The sequence below is a fragment of the Homo sapiens genome, chromosome 10 (assembly GCF_000001405.40).
Source record: "Homo sapiens chromosome 10, GRCh38.p14 Primary Assembly".
NCBI classification, from domain to species: Eukaryota; Metazoa; Chordata; class Mammalia; order Primates; family Hominidae; genus Homo; species Homo sapiens.
The window spans coordinates 29526883-29546082 of NC_000010.11; the positions used below are offsets into that span (position 1 = coordinate 29526883).

The 19200-nt window shown below is 43.5% G+C and overlaps 1 protein-coding gene and 1 non-coding gene across 5 annotated transcripts in view, besides 2 other annotated features; both read right to left on the bottom strand.

Annotated features, from left to right (window-relative positions):
- Nucleotides 1-19200, bottom strand: part of SVIL (supervillin) — a 279599-nt gene that overhangs the window by 69545 nt on the left and 190854 nt on the right. The window contains exons 7-13 of one of the 4 annotated variants that reach the window (NM_021738.3): nucleotides 9107-9187; nucleotides 5647-6576; nucleotides 5120-5290; nucleotides 4372-4406; nucleotides 3725-3786; nucleotides 2823-2962; nucleotides 79-174 (exon numbers count right to left, since the gene is read on the bottom strand). In NM_021738.3, the coding sequence (NP_068506.2) occupies nucleotides 79-174; nucleotides 2823-2962; nucleotides 3725-3786; nucleotides 4372-4406; nucleotides 5120-5290; nucleotides 5647-6576; nucleotides 9107-9187 (1515 nt within the window). The remainder of the gene's footprint in view (nucleotides 1-78; nucleotides 175-2822; nucleotides 2963-3724; nucleotides 3787-4371; nucleotides 4407-5119; nucleotides 5291-5646; nucleotides 6577-9106; nucleotides 9188-19200) is intronic. The other 3 variants (NM_001323599.2, NM_001323600.1, NM_003174.3) reach the window with 3 other exon arrangements.
- Nucleotides 11228-11729: an enhancer, noted in NCBI's record as "H3K4me1 hESC enhancer chr10:29827039-29827540 (GRCh37/hg19 assembly coordinates)". NCBI's record gives its function as "activates a minimal SCP1, AML or CMV promoter by ChIP-STARR-seq in primed H9 embryonic stem cells {active_cell/tissue: H9 hESC(primed)}" and the evidence as "EXISTENCE:reporter gene assay evidence [ECO:0000049][PMID:30033119]".
- Nucleotides 11730-12229: an enhancer, noted in NCBI's record as "H3K4me1 hESC enhancer chr10:29827541-29828040 (GRCh37/hg19 assembly coordinates)". NCBI's record gives its function as "activates a minimal SCP1, AML or CMV promoter by ChIP-STARR-seq in primed H9 embryonic stem cells {active_cell/tissue: H9 hESC(primed)}" and the evidence as "EXISTENCE:reporter gene assay evidence [ECO:0000049][PMID:30033119]".
- Nucleotides 18122-18215, bottom strand: MIR604 (microRNA 604). The gene has a single exon (NR_030335.1). It is a non-coding gene; the product is annotated as a microRNA 604 (primary transcript).

Here is a 19200-nt window from a genome sequence, read left to right on the forward strand (position 1 = left end):
ACATTCAAGACTTTAGGATGCATCTGCTGTTCGGCACCTTTGCACCGGGTGCCGCATGCATCTGTATCTGTCCAGTACCTGGCAGGCTGCACAGCGCTCCTAGCTACAGTGGGGCTAGGAAGTCTCGCCATTACAGGGTGGGTGCCCCCAGAACACGAAGCGGGGATAGGTTCACTTTAAAAGCAATTGCCAAAGAGGAAACATTCATAAGGAGAGAGAAGAAAAGAAGCATTAAGGACAGCATAGTTTTAAATTCAGAAACGTTAAATCAAAAATTTTAACAGAATATTTTGCTAATTATTTTTGGGGAGAAAAAATCACGAAAGAACTTCAAAAGCAAATACAAACTCAGGAAATAAGAGATAGTGGCTACCCAAAGCAAATGGGGTAAGAATAGGTGTTCAGAGCTGGGAGGATTTACTCTGTCTTGAGAATACATGTCTTGGTGTAAAAAAAATAATAATTCAAAAAAGCAAATATTAGCTATCAAAAAATCAGTAGATTATGTCTGTGTTTTAGAATATTGTTTCCAATCTAATTTTTTTCTTTCTTTTTCTTTTTTGGAGATGGAGTCTGTCTCTGTCACCAGGCTGGAGTGCAGTGGCATGATCTTGGCTCACTGCAAACTCCGCCTCCCGGGGTCAAGTGATTCTCCTGCCTCAGCCTCCTGAGTAGCTGGGATTACAGGCGCGCACCACCACGCCCAGTTAATTTTTGTATTTTTATTAGAGATGAGGTTTCACCATGTTGGCCAGGATGGTCTTGATCTCTTGACCTCGTGATCCACCTGCCTCAGCCTCCCAAAGTGCTGGGATTACAGGTGTAAGCCACTGGGCCCAGCCTTTTTTTTTTTTTTTTTTTTTGACAGAGTCTCACTCTGTCGCCCAGGCTGGAATGCAGTGGCGCGATCTCGGCTCACTGCAGCCTCCACCTCCTGGGTTTAAGCATTTCTCCTGCCTCAGCCTCCCGAGTAGCTGGGATTACAGGCGTGCGCCACCATGCCTGGCCAATATTTTTGTATTTTTTAGTAGGGACGGGGTTTCACCATGTTGGCCAGGCTGGTCTTGAACTCCTGACTTCAGGTGATCCACCCACCTCTGCCTCCCTAAGTGCTGGGATTACAGGTGTGAGCCACTGCACCCGGCCTCAATCTACTTTTTAAAAGTATCAGTGTTCTTATACAATCTATAGGCACATCAAGGTAGATTTATTGAGCCTTAAAATGGGATTAATTTTTCTTATATTTACTGTTTTGCTCCCATGGGTATCTGCCTGTTATTTTACACCAGCCATTCAAATATTTCTTTTTTTAAAAAACAAACTGATTTGCAAAGAGTTCCTAATGAGTGCAAGGATATACTTAGCTACAAATGCACCAAGAAACTGAGGAACAACTCGGGGAGGAACTGTAGGCAGCTGATCTAACAGCAGGTCTACAGAACGGGGCACTGACATAGAGGCCTTTTGGGATGTCAATAACCTAATGGGATGAACTATTTTTTTTTCCAGGAAGGGTGTCTGTGTGTCCAAGGTAAGCACAAAACCAATTAACAACATCAACAACAACAAAACTAGGCTGGGTACAGTGGCTCACGCCTGTAGCTCCAGCACTTTGGGAGGCTGAGGTGGGAGGATCGCTTGAGCCCAGGAGTTTAAGATCAGACTGGGCAACATGGCAAAACCCCATCACCACAAAAAATACAAAAATTAGCCAGGTGTGGTGGTTGGGCCTACAGTCCCAACTACTTGGGAGGCTGAGGTTGGAGGGTCAATTGAGCCCAGGAGGTTGAGGCTGTAATGAGCCAAGATGGCGCACTGCATTCCAGCCTGAGTAACAGAGTGAGACACTGCCTCAAAAAAACAAACAATGCCCCCCGCAAAAATAAGAAAATTTTTCACTTGATTGAAGCAATGATCTCTGAATGAACTACTCTGGGAAATTAATTCTGAATATATTGAAACATATTATTCAAAACAAACTTCCTATTGTTTGGAAAGTTATCAAACTGCAATTTAATTTTTAGAAATTTCTGGCAATTAATCCCAGCACTTTGGGAGGCTGAGGCATGGATCACCTGAGGTCAGGAGTTTGAGACCAGCCTGGCCAACATGGTGAAACCCCGTCTCTACTAAAAATACAAAAATTAGCTGAGTGTGGTGGCACATGCCTGTAATCCCAACTACTCGGGAGGTGGAGGCAGGAGAATCGCTTGAACCCAGGAGGCGGAGGTTGCAGTGAGCCGAGATCATGCCACTGCACTCCGTTCTGGGTGACAGAGCAAGACTCTCTCTCAAAAAAAAAAAAAAAAAAAAAAAAAAAAGAAAAAAAGAAAAGAGATTTCTGGCAATTAAGAACAAAACAAACCTTATCTTTTAGAGGGGCGTACTGGGATATTTATGGATGAAATGGTAAGACCTCTAGTGTTTGCTTGAAAATAGCACAGGAGGAAAGGGGAAATGAATGGCACACGGGCTGAGCATCACCGGCCAGGAGCGGGTGACCGTGGAAGCTGGGGTTTCATCACAGCAATCCACCAAGTTTCATGTTTCTATTTTCCGTTGTCAAAGAGATTTTTAAAATATCAATATGCAGAGACAGAAACAAAATAGAACAAAAACTCCTTTCAAGTTTTTCTAGAAGATACACATCCCATTACAAAGTTTAGAGAGACCACAGTAAACAAAATCCCTTAGTACTAACTTCTCTGTGGCTTCTAGCTAAATCACCTCCCCAATGCCTCATTTTCATTGAACACTCTTTAAATGTATTTTTTTAAAAAAAGACACTATAGACAAGGCTGAGAAGTCCTGTGGGCACTTACGTGGCTGCGATGACCACCTCTTCAGTGGTGATGGGCTGGGTGAGGGACCTGTCCTGCAGACGGCGTAGCCTCTGCTCCACAGCTGTGTTTCTTGAGCGTCGCTTTGGAACATTTTGTTCATCAAAAGATTTTTCCATCTCCTAAGATTAGAAGTATTGTGGAACCCTTATAAATTCAAGGAAAGAGCTGGGCACGGTGGCTCACGCCTGTAATCCCAGCACTTTGGGAGGCTAAGGAGGGAAGATTGCTGGAGGCCAAGAGTTCAAGACCAGCCTGGGCAACAAAGTGAGACCCCCTCATCTCTACAAAAAATGCATAAATTAGCCAGGCATGCTGGCACAGGCCTGTAGTCCCAGCTACTTGGGAGGCTGAGGTGGGAACATCACTTGAGCCTGGGAAGTTGAGGCTGCAGTGAGCTATGATCACATTGCTGCACTCAACCCTGAGTGAGAGAGTGAGACCCTATCTCTAAAAAAAAATTAAAAATAACAAAGAAATTCAAGGAAAGGAAATGGGGGTAGTAAAAATTCTTCACTTTGTTCTCCTACAGGACCTACAGGAGGGGTCACTAATGAGCACCTCGTATTGTTGTCAGAAGTGTACACTCATGCTGTGTCCATGAGGTGGCCACAACCAGCCAAAGATTAGGAAGAGAACAACAGGTGGGCCAGAGGCAGGAGGGCCTTAGCATGCCCAGAGGTGCATGAAGTAGGCTGGGTCCACAAGATTCCCCCTCCCTAAGGCTTACAATTTTTATTTTTTTTGAGATGGGGGTCTCACTGTGTTGCCCAGGCTGGTCTCAAACTCCTGGCCTCAAGTGATTCTCCTGCCTTGGCCTCTCAAATAGCTGGGATTACTGCACCCAGTAGGGATCTCTATTCAAGCACGTCAGCACAGCTTACCCTGAAAAGCAACCTCTTGGCGGCGACGCTCAGCTTGGCTCGTTCATCCACCTTTTCTTCATCTGCAAAAAGCCACAAATTAAAAACTGGACATCATTAGAGAAGGTTAAGTTCGGTCTCCAAAAAGTCTTTCAGGGCTGACCTGGAAATCTTTGAATACAACAATAGGTGCACTAAAATAATAATTGGTGGTAGTTTCCCCTTGCAGGGAGCCCATTCTTTCTGCTCAGTGAAAAGGTACTAATTTCCCTTGCAATTCAACCCAGCCAAACCAAAGCAAACTCTGTCCAGGGATTTCTACTCTAACGTTTGTCTGATCGAGATTTCATGAATATATTTTATGGGGGGAATTTCTTTTAGTTTTAAATAGTAGCAGCAGCAACAACAAGAAGAACCTGCTCCTTTGGTTTGAATTAGTTGTTTTTACATTGGTCACTGTATGATTCTCTAACTGCTCTCAAAAAGAAGGGAAAGCTTGTCTGAAAATTTCAACTAGATTTTATCATATCCACAGAACGAAAACCTGCAGCAAAGGGAGACACTGTTATGCTCCATCATCTTACTCTCTCAAAAAGCCAAAAACCTTATTATTAAATCCAGTCTAGATGAGATAATAAAGAAGAAAAAAAAGGGAAACAGGTACTTGCCATCGACAGTTGGCGTTTCTGAATGTGAAGTGCACCTAGGAAAGACATTAGCAAATAACAATAATACATTAGCAGGTGGGAGCAGAAGATCGAAATAAAACATCATACTGAAAGTAAAAATAAAAATGCAATTAAATTCTTTTAAGAAATAACCTCCTGGTAGCAATTCTAGTTGTGAAAACACACATACAGTTGTGAAGCAACACTGTGGAGCGTGTGTGCACACAATCCCAGCCAAGTACACACCCCGTGGAGAGAGACCAGGCACAAGAACAACTTGTTAAACACCACTGATGACAATTTTCCAGACAAATCTTACCATTTCTATGCAATAGTATATGACACTTCAGTATAAAACTCAAATACAACAAGTAGATGGACATTTATAAAATGAATATAAAATTCCTCAGTTATTTTCACTGTAAAATCTGGTGAATATGCAATCTGGAGTCTAATTTAACAAGGGGTAAAAAACATTAAAACCATTAAATAAAGAAAAATAATGTTTCTTACTTCTTATCATCTGAATGCAATGTAAAATTGTGTATGTATCATAATACCGCTGTAAAGGCTAATATTCTTTAAAAAGACTTTTAAATAAGCCAAATAAATAACGCTTATAGGTTAGATGGAACAATTATGGAATCGCCAACATCCTATATAAATAGCGTCAAGACCGTCAGTGTGGTAAAACTCCTGTGTCATTGCCACGTTCCTGGATGAGGAAACTGCGCATACGCATGCCTACCTATCCGATTCCTTTCGTTCTGCTGAAGTTATAGGTTGGGTTCTAAATCTCTCGGAAGTTTTTCTACTTTCACCAGGAGAAAAATAGCGTCTTGGTTTCCGGGACCCTCTCTCCCGTTCCACACCGGTGGGCAAGCCAGGTCCTTCAGCCGACCTCTCCACCCGTGATTTGCTTTGAGAATCAAAGGGCAGAGAGTATAAGGAAGGCAAACGAAGACAGAGAAAGAGAAGATGGCAAAGGATTATGCATCTCCGTGAGTCAAGGGACAGACACCACCAAACCCCTCTTCATGCCTCTACCATGCACGTAAGGAAGGAGACATTCCAGACACCCAATCCACTAGTTCCCCATTAGTAGGCAGAAGCAGAGTGGTAGTTTTTGAGCCATTTTCCGCATAGTCGCCCTGCACGCACTTGTGAGCTAAGCTAATATGATTCAATGCAGAACACAACACAGGTCGAGGAGTGAATCATTCTGCCAGGGACGTGCAAGTGACACAGCTGGAGGGCGTGTGAAGCATCACCTACAGTTCAGGTCTCCTGCAGGCGTTGGCAGATGCCAGGAACGCACTTCGGAGCTGGGCGACAGAGACTTTTGTGTCCAGCATGCTGATCTCCCCATAAGGCCCTTCGGTCTTGGAGCTGGGCAGCTCCAGCTCTCTCCTGGAAGCTGGGTCCTTATACTTCAAGGCCTGGAGCTGAGGGGGGCCTGTGAAATCTGACAGAGAGCGGGTACGGACCTTGCGCTTTTTCGAGGCTTCCCTGTTGTGACCAGTTGGTTTGGCGTCTTGGGACACAGGCTCACTTTGAATGTAGAGAACCATCTCGCTCCTGCCTGTCCTCTCAGTGGGCTGGTGCGGAGCTTGAGGGGGTTGTGCCACGTTTTCCAGTTCCTTCTGATGCTCTAAGGTGACTGTGCTCACAGCAGGCTTACCAAAGTCCTCATTTCTAGAGGGATCTTCTGGGCTTCTCACTAGCCCATCACCCTCCAAAGCCAGTAGGGTTTTCTTGCTTTGCTCGAGAGCTTCAGTGAAGCACACATCTTCTTCTTTTTCTTCTCCTTCTCCTTCCCCTTCTTCTTCTTCTGCTTTTGACTCGCAGACATGGAGAACTGGGCTATCCCTTCCGTCACCTTCTAGAACCGTCAAGCTGGGAGGTTTGGGGACATTCTGGGTGGCTGATGCTACCCAGCTACACTCAGATGCATTTTCTGGGGTTTCTGGCGTCACTAGCTTGGCGGTGTGACCGGTATCTGCGGGTTGGACATAGCCACGGATTGGCTGTCGTGTAGAGCCTGCTGCCTTGCTGGGGACCCTATCAAAGGCTGAGTGCTCAGACTGAAATGACACGTAATGGACTGGCGCTGGCTGGTGTCTCCTCTGAGTTACGGACTCTGAGGCGAGTTCAGGGCTGTTTCGAGCACTTTCCTCTTTCACCAATTTTTCTCTAACTTTAACTCTTTAAGAAAGAAAAAGGATTTAAGTTGCAAAGTGCAGTAACGGCCTCACAGGAGGAAAGCATGCGTAGATCACAGATTACCAGTGAATGGAAACTGACCTGAGAGAGAATAACTTGTGAAAAAGCATTTTGGTGTCTAATGTCAACTACTTGTCAGATGATCCTGAGTTGAGTTTCCAATTTGCATATGTATGCCCAGGAGGTGCAAAACTAACTCTACCCCTGTAAAAGCTGGCAGGGGTCAGATGCTATCCTGGGGGAGAATGGGTCCCTTCTGACTAAATAAATACCCAGAAGCCACAGAAAAATGCGTTAATATCCACCACCAGCATGCATTAGGGCATAATGAGCCTGGTCCCTTGAATCAGTAAGCTTTCCTCATGTACACGCCCAGAACACGGACTGTGGGGGAAGGTTCCTGGCATACAGACACCTATTGACCAAACGCTGTAATTTCATTGTCGTCTGAAAATGTAAGAGCACTCACGATTATTTATGCTTTTTATTTAGTTCAAGATACAACAATCACCTCTCTTTTAAAGCACTCAACTAGACATTCACAAGCTTTTTCATGCAATGCAGAGTATATTCATTCATTCAGAAGGCATGTGGCCAGTCTGGGCATCATTATGAATAATTCTAGCACCAAAAGAATGTTAGAGAAAAGATAGTTGCTGACAGAACTAATGAAGTGAACATTTCCCACCACCATCCCCCTGTCCTGCTGTTATGCTCTTAGTTAAAAATGAATCCCAAAAGAGAGGCCGGGCCCTGGGGCTCATGCCTGTGATCACAACCTTTTGGGAGGCCTGGGCAGGAGGATCATTTGAGGCCAGGAGTTTGAGACCAGTTTGGGCAACATAGTGAGATCTTGTCTCTACAAAAGTAAAAAACAATATCTAGGTGCAGTGGCGTGTGCCTGTAGTCCCAGCTACTTAGGAGGCTGAGGCAGGAGGCCCACTTGAATCCAGGAGTTTGAGGCTGCAGTGAGCTATGATTGTACAGCTACACTCCAGCATAGGCAACAGAGAGAGGCTCTGTCCCTAAAAAACAAAAATAAAATAAAAATAAAGAGAGATTGCTCCAGTTGTTTCTAAAGTTATTCAAATATCTGAGAGCAAAACTGACATCCTTTTCAAAAGCTACAGACCTTTTTCCATTACTGCAAAACAAAGAAACCAAGAGCTCTGGCTGTGGGGTTGGAAGAGACCTCTGCTCAGATCCTGGCTCAGTCAGGTTGAGCTGTGTAGTGTTGGGCAACTCACCTGCCCTTAGTAAGCCTCAGTTGCTTTACCTTTTAAATGGAAATAATAGTGACATAATGTAATGTGATATTTGCAAAGCACGTGGCTTAGTGCTTAGCAAAGAGTAAATGTTTAATAGTGTTATCTAGTTCTTATTTTTGGTTTTTGAAGTACCATGTAGTGGGAAAGGAGACACAATTCCAACTACTTGAGAATGGAAAACTGATTAGGGCTCAGCTTTAAAAAGCAAAGAGGGCTTTTGGAGTGGGAAAAGGGATTTCTTGCGGGGAGAGGAATTTAGACTGTTTACTTAAGCTTAATTGGCAAAAGTAATTATTTATGATGTGCACTGTATGGAAAAGAATAGTTTATTTAATGACAAGTGCACCCTGCTAAATTTGATAAAAACTCCTATATATTTTTTTTAACGTACGAGGCAGTGTATCTATATATGTGTCATTAAAGGACAATCCACACAGACGCACATAGAGGTGGTAACTATGAACAACTCAGGGAAAGAAAACATTCTTAGTTGTTATTTTTCCCAGAGATGAGCCAGTGTTGGAGGTTTTCATACTTAAAACGTTTGTTAATCAAAAGGAGACTGAAGCGCGGTTCCAGTTCTCCTGTGGAATGCGTGCTCCTGATCAGAGACAATCTGAATGTTGTCCTCAGCCAAGAACAAAGTGACTGTCAGAAACTCTGTGTGTGGAGCTTTGTCCTTCCATGACTTACTCATTCTGACTCCTTCCGCCTCTCCCTGCCCCCAGTCTTAAAAATGAAATGATAGGGGGTTTTGTTTGCTTTTAAAACCACATGCCCTAAATTTAACTGTTGAAAATTAACTACTGGTTTAGAGATGAGGAGATATGAAAGCAAGGAGGCTGGAAGGGCTGGGAGCAGTGGGAAGCTGAGCAGATGGGACGCCGGCTAGCGAGTCCAGCTATGGAAAGGAGCCCAGGGCCTGGCTGGGTGCTCACTACTGCCCCTCACTGGCCAGTCCTATGTGAGTTGGTGAGAAGGGAAAAGCAAAAGGTCAAGTAAAAGGTTTGTCAATCAAGAAAGATTGACAAAGATTGAAAAAGAGGGGGAAGGAGAGATACTATTAGCATGGATTAGGGCATGTGGAGGGGAAAAGCAAATGATTAGAAAGTAACTTCCACGTGATTTTCAAGTGCACTGGTATTAAAGAAGGCAAGAGGAGAGTGGGTGTTAGCTGATGTGTGGTCAGGCAGGAGGAAGCAACACTCATGCACACAAGCCCCAGAGGGCCGGCGTGCGGGTACCTGGAAGGCCAGTTGATAAGTGAAGGTGTGTCCCCTTCGGAATCTTTCTGGAGAAACCACTCATGTTTGGGTTTCCCTGTACTATTGTGTACAAAAAACAAAACCAGATAATCTCTATTAAAACGTCAACATATACACAGACTTTACCATAACTTAAAACCTAAAGGCTGATTTTTATTAAGAATAATCCTCACTTATAAGTGGGAGTTAAACATGGAGTACACATGGTCACAAAGAGGGAGCAGCAGACATGAGGGCCCACTTGAGGGAGGAGAGAGGCAGGAGGGCGGGGATGGAAACACAACCTGTGGGCTGCTGTGCTTATTACCTGGGTGACAAAATATTTAATACACCAAAGCCTTGTGACAATTTACCTACATAACAAATCTGCACATGTACCCCTGAACCTAAATTAAAACTTAAAAAAATAAACAAACAGGAATATTATAGGGAAAAAAAGAATAATTCTGTCTTTTGAAAATGTATAAGCACATTTTGCTATAGAGTTCATATTCACTTCATGGAGTTTCCAGGACATGTGGCTCACTACTAAAATCAAGAGGTAAAAATAAATGTATCTAAGGCCATCAAATCATGTGTTTTCCCAAGTAATTTTAAATTATTAGAAAGGAGTCTGTTGGCCGGGTGCAGTGGCTCACGCCTGTAATCCCAGCACTTTGGGAGGCCGGGGTGGGTGGATCACCTGAGGTTAGGAGTCCAAGACCAGCCTGGCCAACATGGTGAAACCCCATCTCTACTAAAAATACAAAAAATTAGCCGGGTGTGGTAGTGGGCACCAGTAATTCCAGCTACTCGGGAAGCTGAGGCAGGAGAGTTGCTGGAACCTGGGAGGTGGAGGTTGCAGTGAGCCGAGATCATGCCACTGCACTCCAGCCCGGGCGATAACAGCACGACTCTGTCACAAAAAAAAAAAAAAAAAAAAGAACGGAGTCTATTATAGTCACACTCTGCCCACAAATACCAGGCAATTCTCTTGTAAGCAGCTGACTAAAAGTAAAAGGTAATTTAATTTCCATAAGTTTTGCAGTGGCACGTTGGTAAATAGCCTAATATAAAAATAGCATCTATGTAAAACAACACATTTCAAATAAAGAAGATAATTAAAATAAATAAAAATAAAATAAAATAAGTCAATGGGATCACATTTTTAGTTGCTATTACACATTTTCCTTTTAAAATTATCACTGAATAATGTGACCAACACAAGAGTTACAAGTACTAATTCAGGTCCATTCTGCTGATATTTATTGAGCTCCTAGTAAGTGCAAGTAATGAGCTAAGGAACGACGAAAATGAATCATAAATCAACATAGCCATTAAAAACCTTAAACCGCAGGTAGGCTAGGTAATATATAGTCCACACATTCATTCCTCAACACACGACTGAGTATGATGCCAAGCAGAATATGAACGAGTAATTATACCAGGCTGAAGGTATTTTAGAGAAACATCATGGGTAAGGACAACCTTGTTTTAACAACATAAAGCAAGTCAAAGGAGGAACACTCAGATTACTGCCCTGTCTCCTCTTACAATGTAGAAAGAAAAAAAGGAAATTCTACAGGCTAGTTACAATGTTTACCAGCTCAAAACTTTATGAGCCTATCTGCAAGAATTTTTCAACACCAGGCTGGAAACACATTGCAGCTCAAAAAGAAATTTCTAAAAGAAAATAAAAGTTATAATCAACTTAATTTTCTAAAATCATTTTGGTTTGAGTTTTGGTTGGAGGGGACAGGCAGGTACCTGGCACCGCTATTGTACGTCTTGCTGTAACCACTGACCTCTATCTCGGTCTAGGCTTGGACTGATCTGTTTCTCCAGTAAGATCCTTCAGCCTTGCTACTCCTAAAACTATCACCCCACCTCCCCATCCTCTGCATCACATCAATTTTGCCCACAGCAAATAAAAAGTTAAGATGTATGTAAAGTCATTTCATTTCCAAATATAAAGGGTCCAATTCATCAACTTTTATTTGATGGGAAGAGTTTGGCGCATCGCCTGCAGCCAGGAACGAAGGCAGTGCAACTCAGTCCAGTGTGCAGAGGGCAAGAGGGGCCAGCAGACGCCTGCTGTTGGAAATGACATCAAGTTCCTATAACGAATCTGCCGCCTTCACAGGGTTATGTTTAGGCTGAATGCTTTCTGTATAACAGAGGGCTTTGTAAAAGAAGTGCAATACAACTTTTCGAACATGACCTTAACTGACAAGAATAAAATTTGATCAATATCACCGTCAAACTCCATCAAGGGCTTGTGTAAGAATGTTGGCTCAGCATTTATAAAATGGAAATCCCACACAGACACAGGGGACTTACTGGGCTCCATTTGCTTATTACACCTGAAATATGAAACCAGCCAAAAACCAAAGGACTACCACCAGGGTGGTGAATACTCAAAGTCTGAGTATATAGACAGTCTCCGACTTAAAATGGTTCAATGTAAGATTTATTGACTTTAAGATGTTGTGGAAGTGATAGGCATTCAGGAGAGCCTGTGCTTGGAATTGTGAATTCTGTTCTTCTCCTGGGCCGGTGGTGTGTGGTGCGATGCTCCCCTGCGATGCTCGCAGAGGCAGTGAGCCGCCGCTCCCAGATCGCCACCAGCCATACAACCATGAGGGGAACGACCCATCTCCATAGTGTGCTGCATGGCCAGATGGTTTTGTCCAAATCCAAGCTAATGTGAGTGTTCTGAGCATATCTAAGGTAGGTTGGGTGTATTAAGTGAATTTTTGACTTAATGTTTCCTTTGTTTTTCTGACTTGCAATATTTTCAACTTATGATGGATTTATTGGGATGCGACCCCATTCTAAGTTGAGGAACATCTGTAAAATAAATACAAATGTATGTAATAAGAAACAAAGAGGCCAGGTGTGGTGGCTCACGCCTCTTGTAATCCCAGCCCTTTTGGAGGCTGAGGCAGGAGGATCCCTTGAGGCCAGGAGTTCGAGCCAGCCTGAGCAACATAGCAAGACTCTGTCTGTATTTAAAAAATTAAAAAGTTAGTGAAGCATGGTGGCATGTGTCTGTAGACCTAGCTACTCAGGAGGCTGAGGCAGTAGGATCCTTTGAGCCCAGGAGTTTGAGGCTGCAGTGAGCTATGATTGCACCACTGCACTCCAGCCTGGGAGACAGAGTGAGACTCGGCCTCTAATAAATAAATAAATAAATAAATAAATAAATAAACAAACAAAGTATGTGAAGGCATCATGCCTAGGACATAATAAGCCTTTTAAATGCTTTTCTTATCTTTTTCCTTCTTCACAGTCAACACAGCAATGAAAGTTTATGAATTTCTCTTTTTATGCTTTGAAGACATAATACTTATGGAGACCCAATTCAGAAGTCATGCGATTTTCAGCAGGGTGAGTCCAGCCTCACCAGGAGGGCCTGACTTTGTCTTTAGTACATTTAAAGCAGGAGTGATCTAGAAAAGCATTTCTCCAAGTAAGGGTTTCAGGATCCCTGAGGTTGGCTATGACATGTATTTGGGTGAGGTTATCTGCCATCTGAAATGAAAATGAGAGAGGGATGAGGAGACGCCTAAATCAGACACCAACAGTGAACACGCTGTCCTGGGCGCTGTGTAGCAATGATCTCACAGAATGCAGCCACTTCTGAGTTGTGCAGCAGCATCTACACTTTCGACACTCCCCTCTTCTGTCTCCCATCTCCCCCATCAGACTTCTTAGCTGAGTTCTCCTCCTCACCCCCACGATACACAGCCCCAGGGTGCTCTTGACATTTCAACTTGGATATTTAATAGACGTCTTAAATTTACATGCCCAGAAAATGAACTCTTAACTTCCCTCTGTCCCAACTTGTACTGGAGTCTTCCCTATGCCAAATCCCTGCTTCGAGTTGCCTTGGCCAAAAAATTGAGACTCGCTTTTTACTCCTCTGTTTCTTTCAAACCCCACCCCTACCTCATCAGCAAGTTCTCTTGGGTACCTTCAAAATATAACCTCTTTCTACCACCTGTGCTGCCATCATTCTAGTTCAAGCCACCACCGCCTCTCACGTGCGTTACCAAGATGACCTCCTCATTATTCTACCTGTTTTCATCCTGGCCCCACTAAAGTCTATCTTCCGCTTAGCAGCCAGCATAATGCTTTGAAATGTAAGGCAGATGAGTCATTCCTCTTGTTCAAACCCTCCTAGGGCTCAACATATCAAGTAGGGCAAACCCCAAAGCCCTTGCGGTGGTTCTAAGGCCCTCCCCGATCTGTGGTCTCACTAACATCATCCCTACCACCTGCCCCTTCTGCTACAGCCCTCTCTCTTCGCTAGGATGTGACAGCCTCTGGAGAGAGAGAGACTTCGTTCACATTCATCTCCTCGGCACTCGGAACTATGTGTGGTGAACAGTAGGTCTCAGATGCTCATGGAATGATTAACTGATGAATGATAATCTCCACAGCAACTCTAAGAGGTCTTCTCGTCTCCATTTTATAGATGCAGATGGTGAGGTGCAAGGGAAAAAGGACATTAACTGCTCACGATCACACGACTGGTAACAGAAGGATGGGGCTTGGACCCAGTGCAGCAGGACCCCCCAGCATGCACCTTCCTTCCAGCCTTCCAGAGTGACAAGCTTCCACATTCTGGAAAATGGCTGCTTCCTTGGCTTGAATGGGTAAGAATGAGGTTGGGATGCCAGTGTTCATGGACTCTAAGGTTAAGCAAGGAAGACACCAAGAACTTCCTGGTCACAGCCACAACCCTGACTGGATGTGGATCTCTCTCTAGTGCCGTTTCCACCGTCAGAAGAGTTACCCGATTACCTATGAATTCTGCAGAACCTAACTACCTTCTTCCTTTGTTTCTCCAATGAACAATATCAAATCAAAGGAGTCAGGCAGTGGAAGGTTGTGGACTGAGCTTTCCACCTTGGAGCAGCGCAGCCTGATCATAATACTGAGGGGTTGGCAAAGCGATGCTCAACTGAGATTTTAAAATATTTCATTCCATCAAAGTACAAAATTTACTTCAGGGGCCCACAGGGCATTGTTTTGGAGAGACAGTAAAATAGCAGGTGAGATTTTTTAAAAAACATGAACAAAAAGAGAGATCACATCTGAATTATGGTGGTTATTTTCCTCTTTTATTTTCTCTTCATGTCTTTTAATCTTGTGTGACATTATTTCATGAAGTCTTCCTAAATGTTACGCTTAATTATTTTTGATAAATAAGGTTTGGTTAAGAAATTAACAGTGGGAGATTTGCTTTATACAACATAATGAGTTGAACACAGGATACTTACTGTGAGGCTATACCAGTCTTTGCACATGCGGTCAAGAATCAATTCTGGTGGACAGAGGCACAAGGGATGATGGAAATGTTTCCTATCCTGACTGGGATGATGATTATACATTTACCCAAACTCACCAAGCTGCATCCTTAAAATCTGTGTATTTGATGTAAATTATACCTCATTTAAAAAATATGTCATCGTTGGGTTACAGAGTAAGGACTTCTTGAGTACTGAAAATGTAGCATTTTCTGGGGGCAGAAGCAGGATAAACATGTGAGATAACCAATTTCTTCCAGTCTCCCTTTGAGCTAATCTCAGTGAAGGCCTGAATGCTGTAACCGCAGCCCAGAAAGGAGGGAGGGAGGAGGTATGTGCAGAAAGCACAATTGTCAGAAAATGCTGGAATCTGAGGAAGGTGCGAGGCTGGATTGGCATCCCCTCATCTCCTGATTGGAACCATCACTCCTAGAATAAGGTAATCGGGGACTTGACAGCTTTCATCATGAGACTAGACTAGAATCAGCCATTCGCGGGGCTGTGGACTCAGTTCACGACGCTCCACAAGTGGCCGATGATTTTCTGCTCACTTATCACGATTCCCATTTACTGTTTAATGATATTTATGAGCAGCCTGACTCAAGACCACATACAAGAACCCCAATCCCAGACAAAGCAGAAAGAGCTTTGTCGTATAAACAAGTGCTGCTCACAGTGCGTTCCACTGATTGGTGTCCCTCTGCATGATTAGACAAAAGGCTGTCACCAGAAGGGAAATTAACAACATCGCTAAGCCTGCTGTGTAGTTCAGCTGACGTTTTCTTCACAGCTTGATTTTCTCAATGAAGGAAACCAAACACAATTTGCATTTGGGTGCGAGTGTCTCATAGTTGTGTGCTGATAAACAGTTTGCAGATTGGCTATTTCAAACAGCACTGCTATAGTTTGGTGACACTTTAAGCAAACACAGAAAATAGCAGAACATTCATTCAAAAATGATTTTCTAGGTCACTTGAAATTGTTGGATATTCCAGTTGCAGTGAAGGAGATATGAAAATGACTAGAGCAAGGTATCTACTCATCTCTTAAAGCTTCTACTAAAGTAATGCTATCGCTGCAATCATCCTTACCAGACTTACAGAAGAGCTTAACACCAAATTCACAGTGCCGTGTCTGGAAAAAATCCTTACGAAATTGCTAAAATCCTCTTCTGGGTATGACAGCCATGATCTAGGGTGCTTGCCATTTGTTGTCTTTTTTTTTTAAATTTTTAATTTCTGTGGGTACATAGCAAGTGTACGTATTTATGGGGTATCTGAGATGTTTTGATACAGGCATGCAATGCGTAATAATCATGTCATGGAGAATGGGGTATCCATCCCCTTAAGTATTTATTCTTTGTGTCACAAACAATTGATTATACTTTTAGTTATTTTAAAATGCACGATTATTAGACTATAGTCGCCCTGTTGTGCTAACACAAAGCAGGTCTTATTCATTTTTTCTAACTACTTTTTGTACCCGTTAGGTGCTGGACATTTGAATATCCTTCCTATGACATAGGGTGCCTGTGAAGTGGCATCTGTGGGACTCCTCATTTGGCTCATGACCTGTTTCTCCTCTTTTCCCTTCCAGTACAATCATCAGCAACCCAGAAGCCAAACTAATAACATCAGGGCTCTGTTTGCCAAGCTGAGCCAAGCTCCAGCTCTGTCTCTGGGAAACTCACGATATGATAATGAGAGCAGACTGGTGCGAGAGTCTAAACACCACAGAAAGTGGAAGTGACTCCAAAAATGGTCCCAGTTTCTATTAGCCCATTTATGCCTAGTGTTCCATTATTGGAATGCTAAGCAAGTGGGAGTTATTTATATTCTACTGCTCAAGGACAGCACCAAGGTCTGATTGCAAAAATTCAAAAAATTGCAACCTCGGGCATACATGGGTTAAGAGAGAGAGAAGTTACCAAAACACAACAAAACAACCTGGAAAGGTCAAGAAAGCAGGGCAGATGGGAAGGTGGACTCTTCTCTGGACACATTTGTCAGTGGCCCTATTAGAAAGAGATATCCAGATGTAATCTGACCACTGCAGGACGCAGGGGGACCATTGCCTACCTATGCTATTGGCAACTCACTTTCATTAATGTCCCCCAAGATTGGACTAATCACTTTGGCAGTCATATAAAGAACTTGCTGTCAACTAAAACCCTTAGGTCTGTTTCCCACGAACTGCTGTTAAATCAGGTTTCCACAATCTTGAACTTGTGCACTGATTTTTTTTCCATCTAAATTCAAGACTTCATTAAATTTCACCTTGTTAGTTTCTAACCATTGTTCCGGGTACACGTGCTCTCTTGCCTACATGATCCTGTTCTCTCGCACTCTCTCCCCCTCCTTCTTACCTCTCTTCCTCCTCCATCTCTCCCCTCTCCCCTGCCTCCTTTAGTCATCAAACTTACAATCCCTCCTCCAGAAATCTGATCTAAATACATGCATTTATATGCATGTATTACATATGGTACTTAAAAAGCCTTGTTCTCATAAACAAACAGACAACTTATTTTATGGAATCTTGGGGTGAGCCAACCCTTCACAGGGCAGAGGTCACCTACAAGGGGAGAGGCTTATAGGGTTATTGGGGACCAGAATGAGGAAGTGGTGACTTTAGGTGTGTGTATCAGAACTGTTTTGATGCAGCAACTGGCTGGCAGAGAATTGTATTACCAGGAAATAATAACTCACTCCAGGTTTTCATAAAGGCCAGGGGTTGCCCTTGGGTTGTATCCCTAAGTATATAATAGTATATAATGATCAGCTTTAACTCCCTACAACTCCCAAGGGTCTACAGACTAAAAAGTGCTTCCTGTTACCAAAGTGAAGTCAAATGCAGCACAGTCAAATTAGTTTCTCCATGTGGGTGTCCAGCTCTAATTATATAACAGCTTCTAATTATAAAACGTTAAGAATGGCTATTAACTTTTGAATCTCATTAAAATTAACGGTTAATTTGCTAAAAGTCGCTTGTTTGGAAAAACTGCTAATGACCGTTCTGCAGATAGGTACAGGTACAAAATCTGCAAGGACACAGGCTCAAGGAAAAATTTTGCATTTAAAATCTCACACACCTTTGAGTTTTTAGCTAGTGTACATAGTAGCTAGGGTTTGGGGAGATATATTTACATTTAGTCCAATGAATAGGAATAGTCTGCCAGGCCCGGTGGCTCACACGTGTAGTCCCAGCACTTTGGGAGGCCAAGACGGGTGGATCGCTTAACACCAGGAGTTCCAGACCAGCCTGGGCAACATTGTGAAACCCCATCTCTTCCAAAAAATTCAAAAATTAGCCAGGCATAGTGGCGTGCATCTGTTAAGTCCCAACTACTCAGAAGGCTGAGGCAGGAGGAACGCTCGAGCCCAGGAAGTCAAGGCTGCAGTGAGATTGTGCTACTGCTGCACTCCAGCCTGGGCAACAGAGTGAGACCTTTTCTAAAAAAAAAAAAAAAAAAAAAAAAAGAATAAGAATTGTCACTTGACAATAAGAACAGGATGAAATGAAAAAAAAGAGGGAATGACTTACCCATCTATTTTAACAGTTGGGATTCTAGAGTATGGCAGGGAGCACAGGTGTTTGGGGGTACAGGGACTGAAAGGTGAAGCCAATTCCATTCCAGTAATAGAATAAGCTGTGAGGAGGACCCAGATGTCTGTTCTTTAGAATGGCCCCCAAGATGTATGTTTCTCCATGATGCACTGTCCTGAATTCCGCAGCCTGTGTCAGAAAACCTGCCTGCTAGTGGACACGAGAGCGTGGAAGGTCAAGCACGATGCTCTCCTGCAGACACCTCTCTCAGTGCATGGAAACAGACCACTGAGCCAAGAGAGCTTGAGGCTCTGGAGACGGTTTTTAGACTAAAATCTCTCATCAGGAGATGAGCAAATGCAATCAGAAATAAACTCCAAGTGCCCAGCACAAGCCCCTTCCTTTCTTAGTGGCTGAGGCTGCACCGTGTCAAGTTGTTACAGAAGCTGCATTCCAGAGGGTGCCCTGGTCTATTTCCTGAGCCGATCGGCGGCTCTCTGGCATCCATGGGGAGCCCTGCCCAAACCATCATCCACCAATGGCAACTCTCCCAGGGGTCCAATGTCAGCCTCAGCTCTGCATGAAACCTCCATATCATGTTCTCACTACTAAGGACACAATTTGCTAAAGAGAAAAGAGTGGTGAGGGGCTGCAGTACAGTAATGACAAACAAAACTAATAAACGAGGGTTTTCTAGAGTGGATCACCACTAGAAAATGAGGTCTACCAGCCGGGCGTGGTGGCTCACGCCTGTAATCCCAGCATTTTAGGACGCCGAGGTGGGCGTATCATGAGGTCAAGGGATCAAGACCATCCTGGCCAACATGGTGAAACTCCGTCTCTACTAAAAATACAAAAATTAGTTGGGTGTGGTGGCGCATGCCTGTAGTCCCAGCTACTTGGGAGGCTGAGGCAGGAGAATCGCTTGAACCCAGGAGGTGGAGGTTGCAGTGAGCCAAGATTGCACCACTGCACTCCAGCTTGGAGTCAGAGTGAGACTCTGTCTCAAAAAAAAAAAAAAAAAAAAAAAAAAGAAAAAGAAAAAAGAAAGAAAGAAAATGAGGTCTACCTTTCATTTCATTCCCTTTGCCAGTCACATAGTTCCCTGAGAACAGAGAGTGATGGCCGGATGCTCAGCAAAGGCAACAGCAGGACTGAAGACAGTGAGTTTCTCCACTCATAAAAGTAAAAAATACAGCACATTTTCTTTATATAGATACGTGAGATGCATAAAGT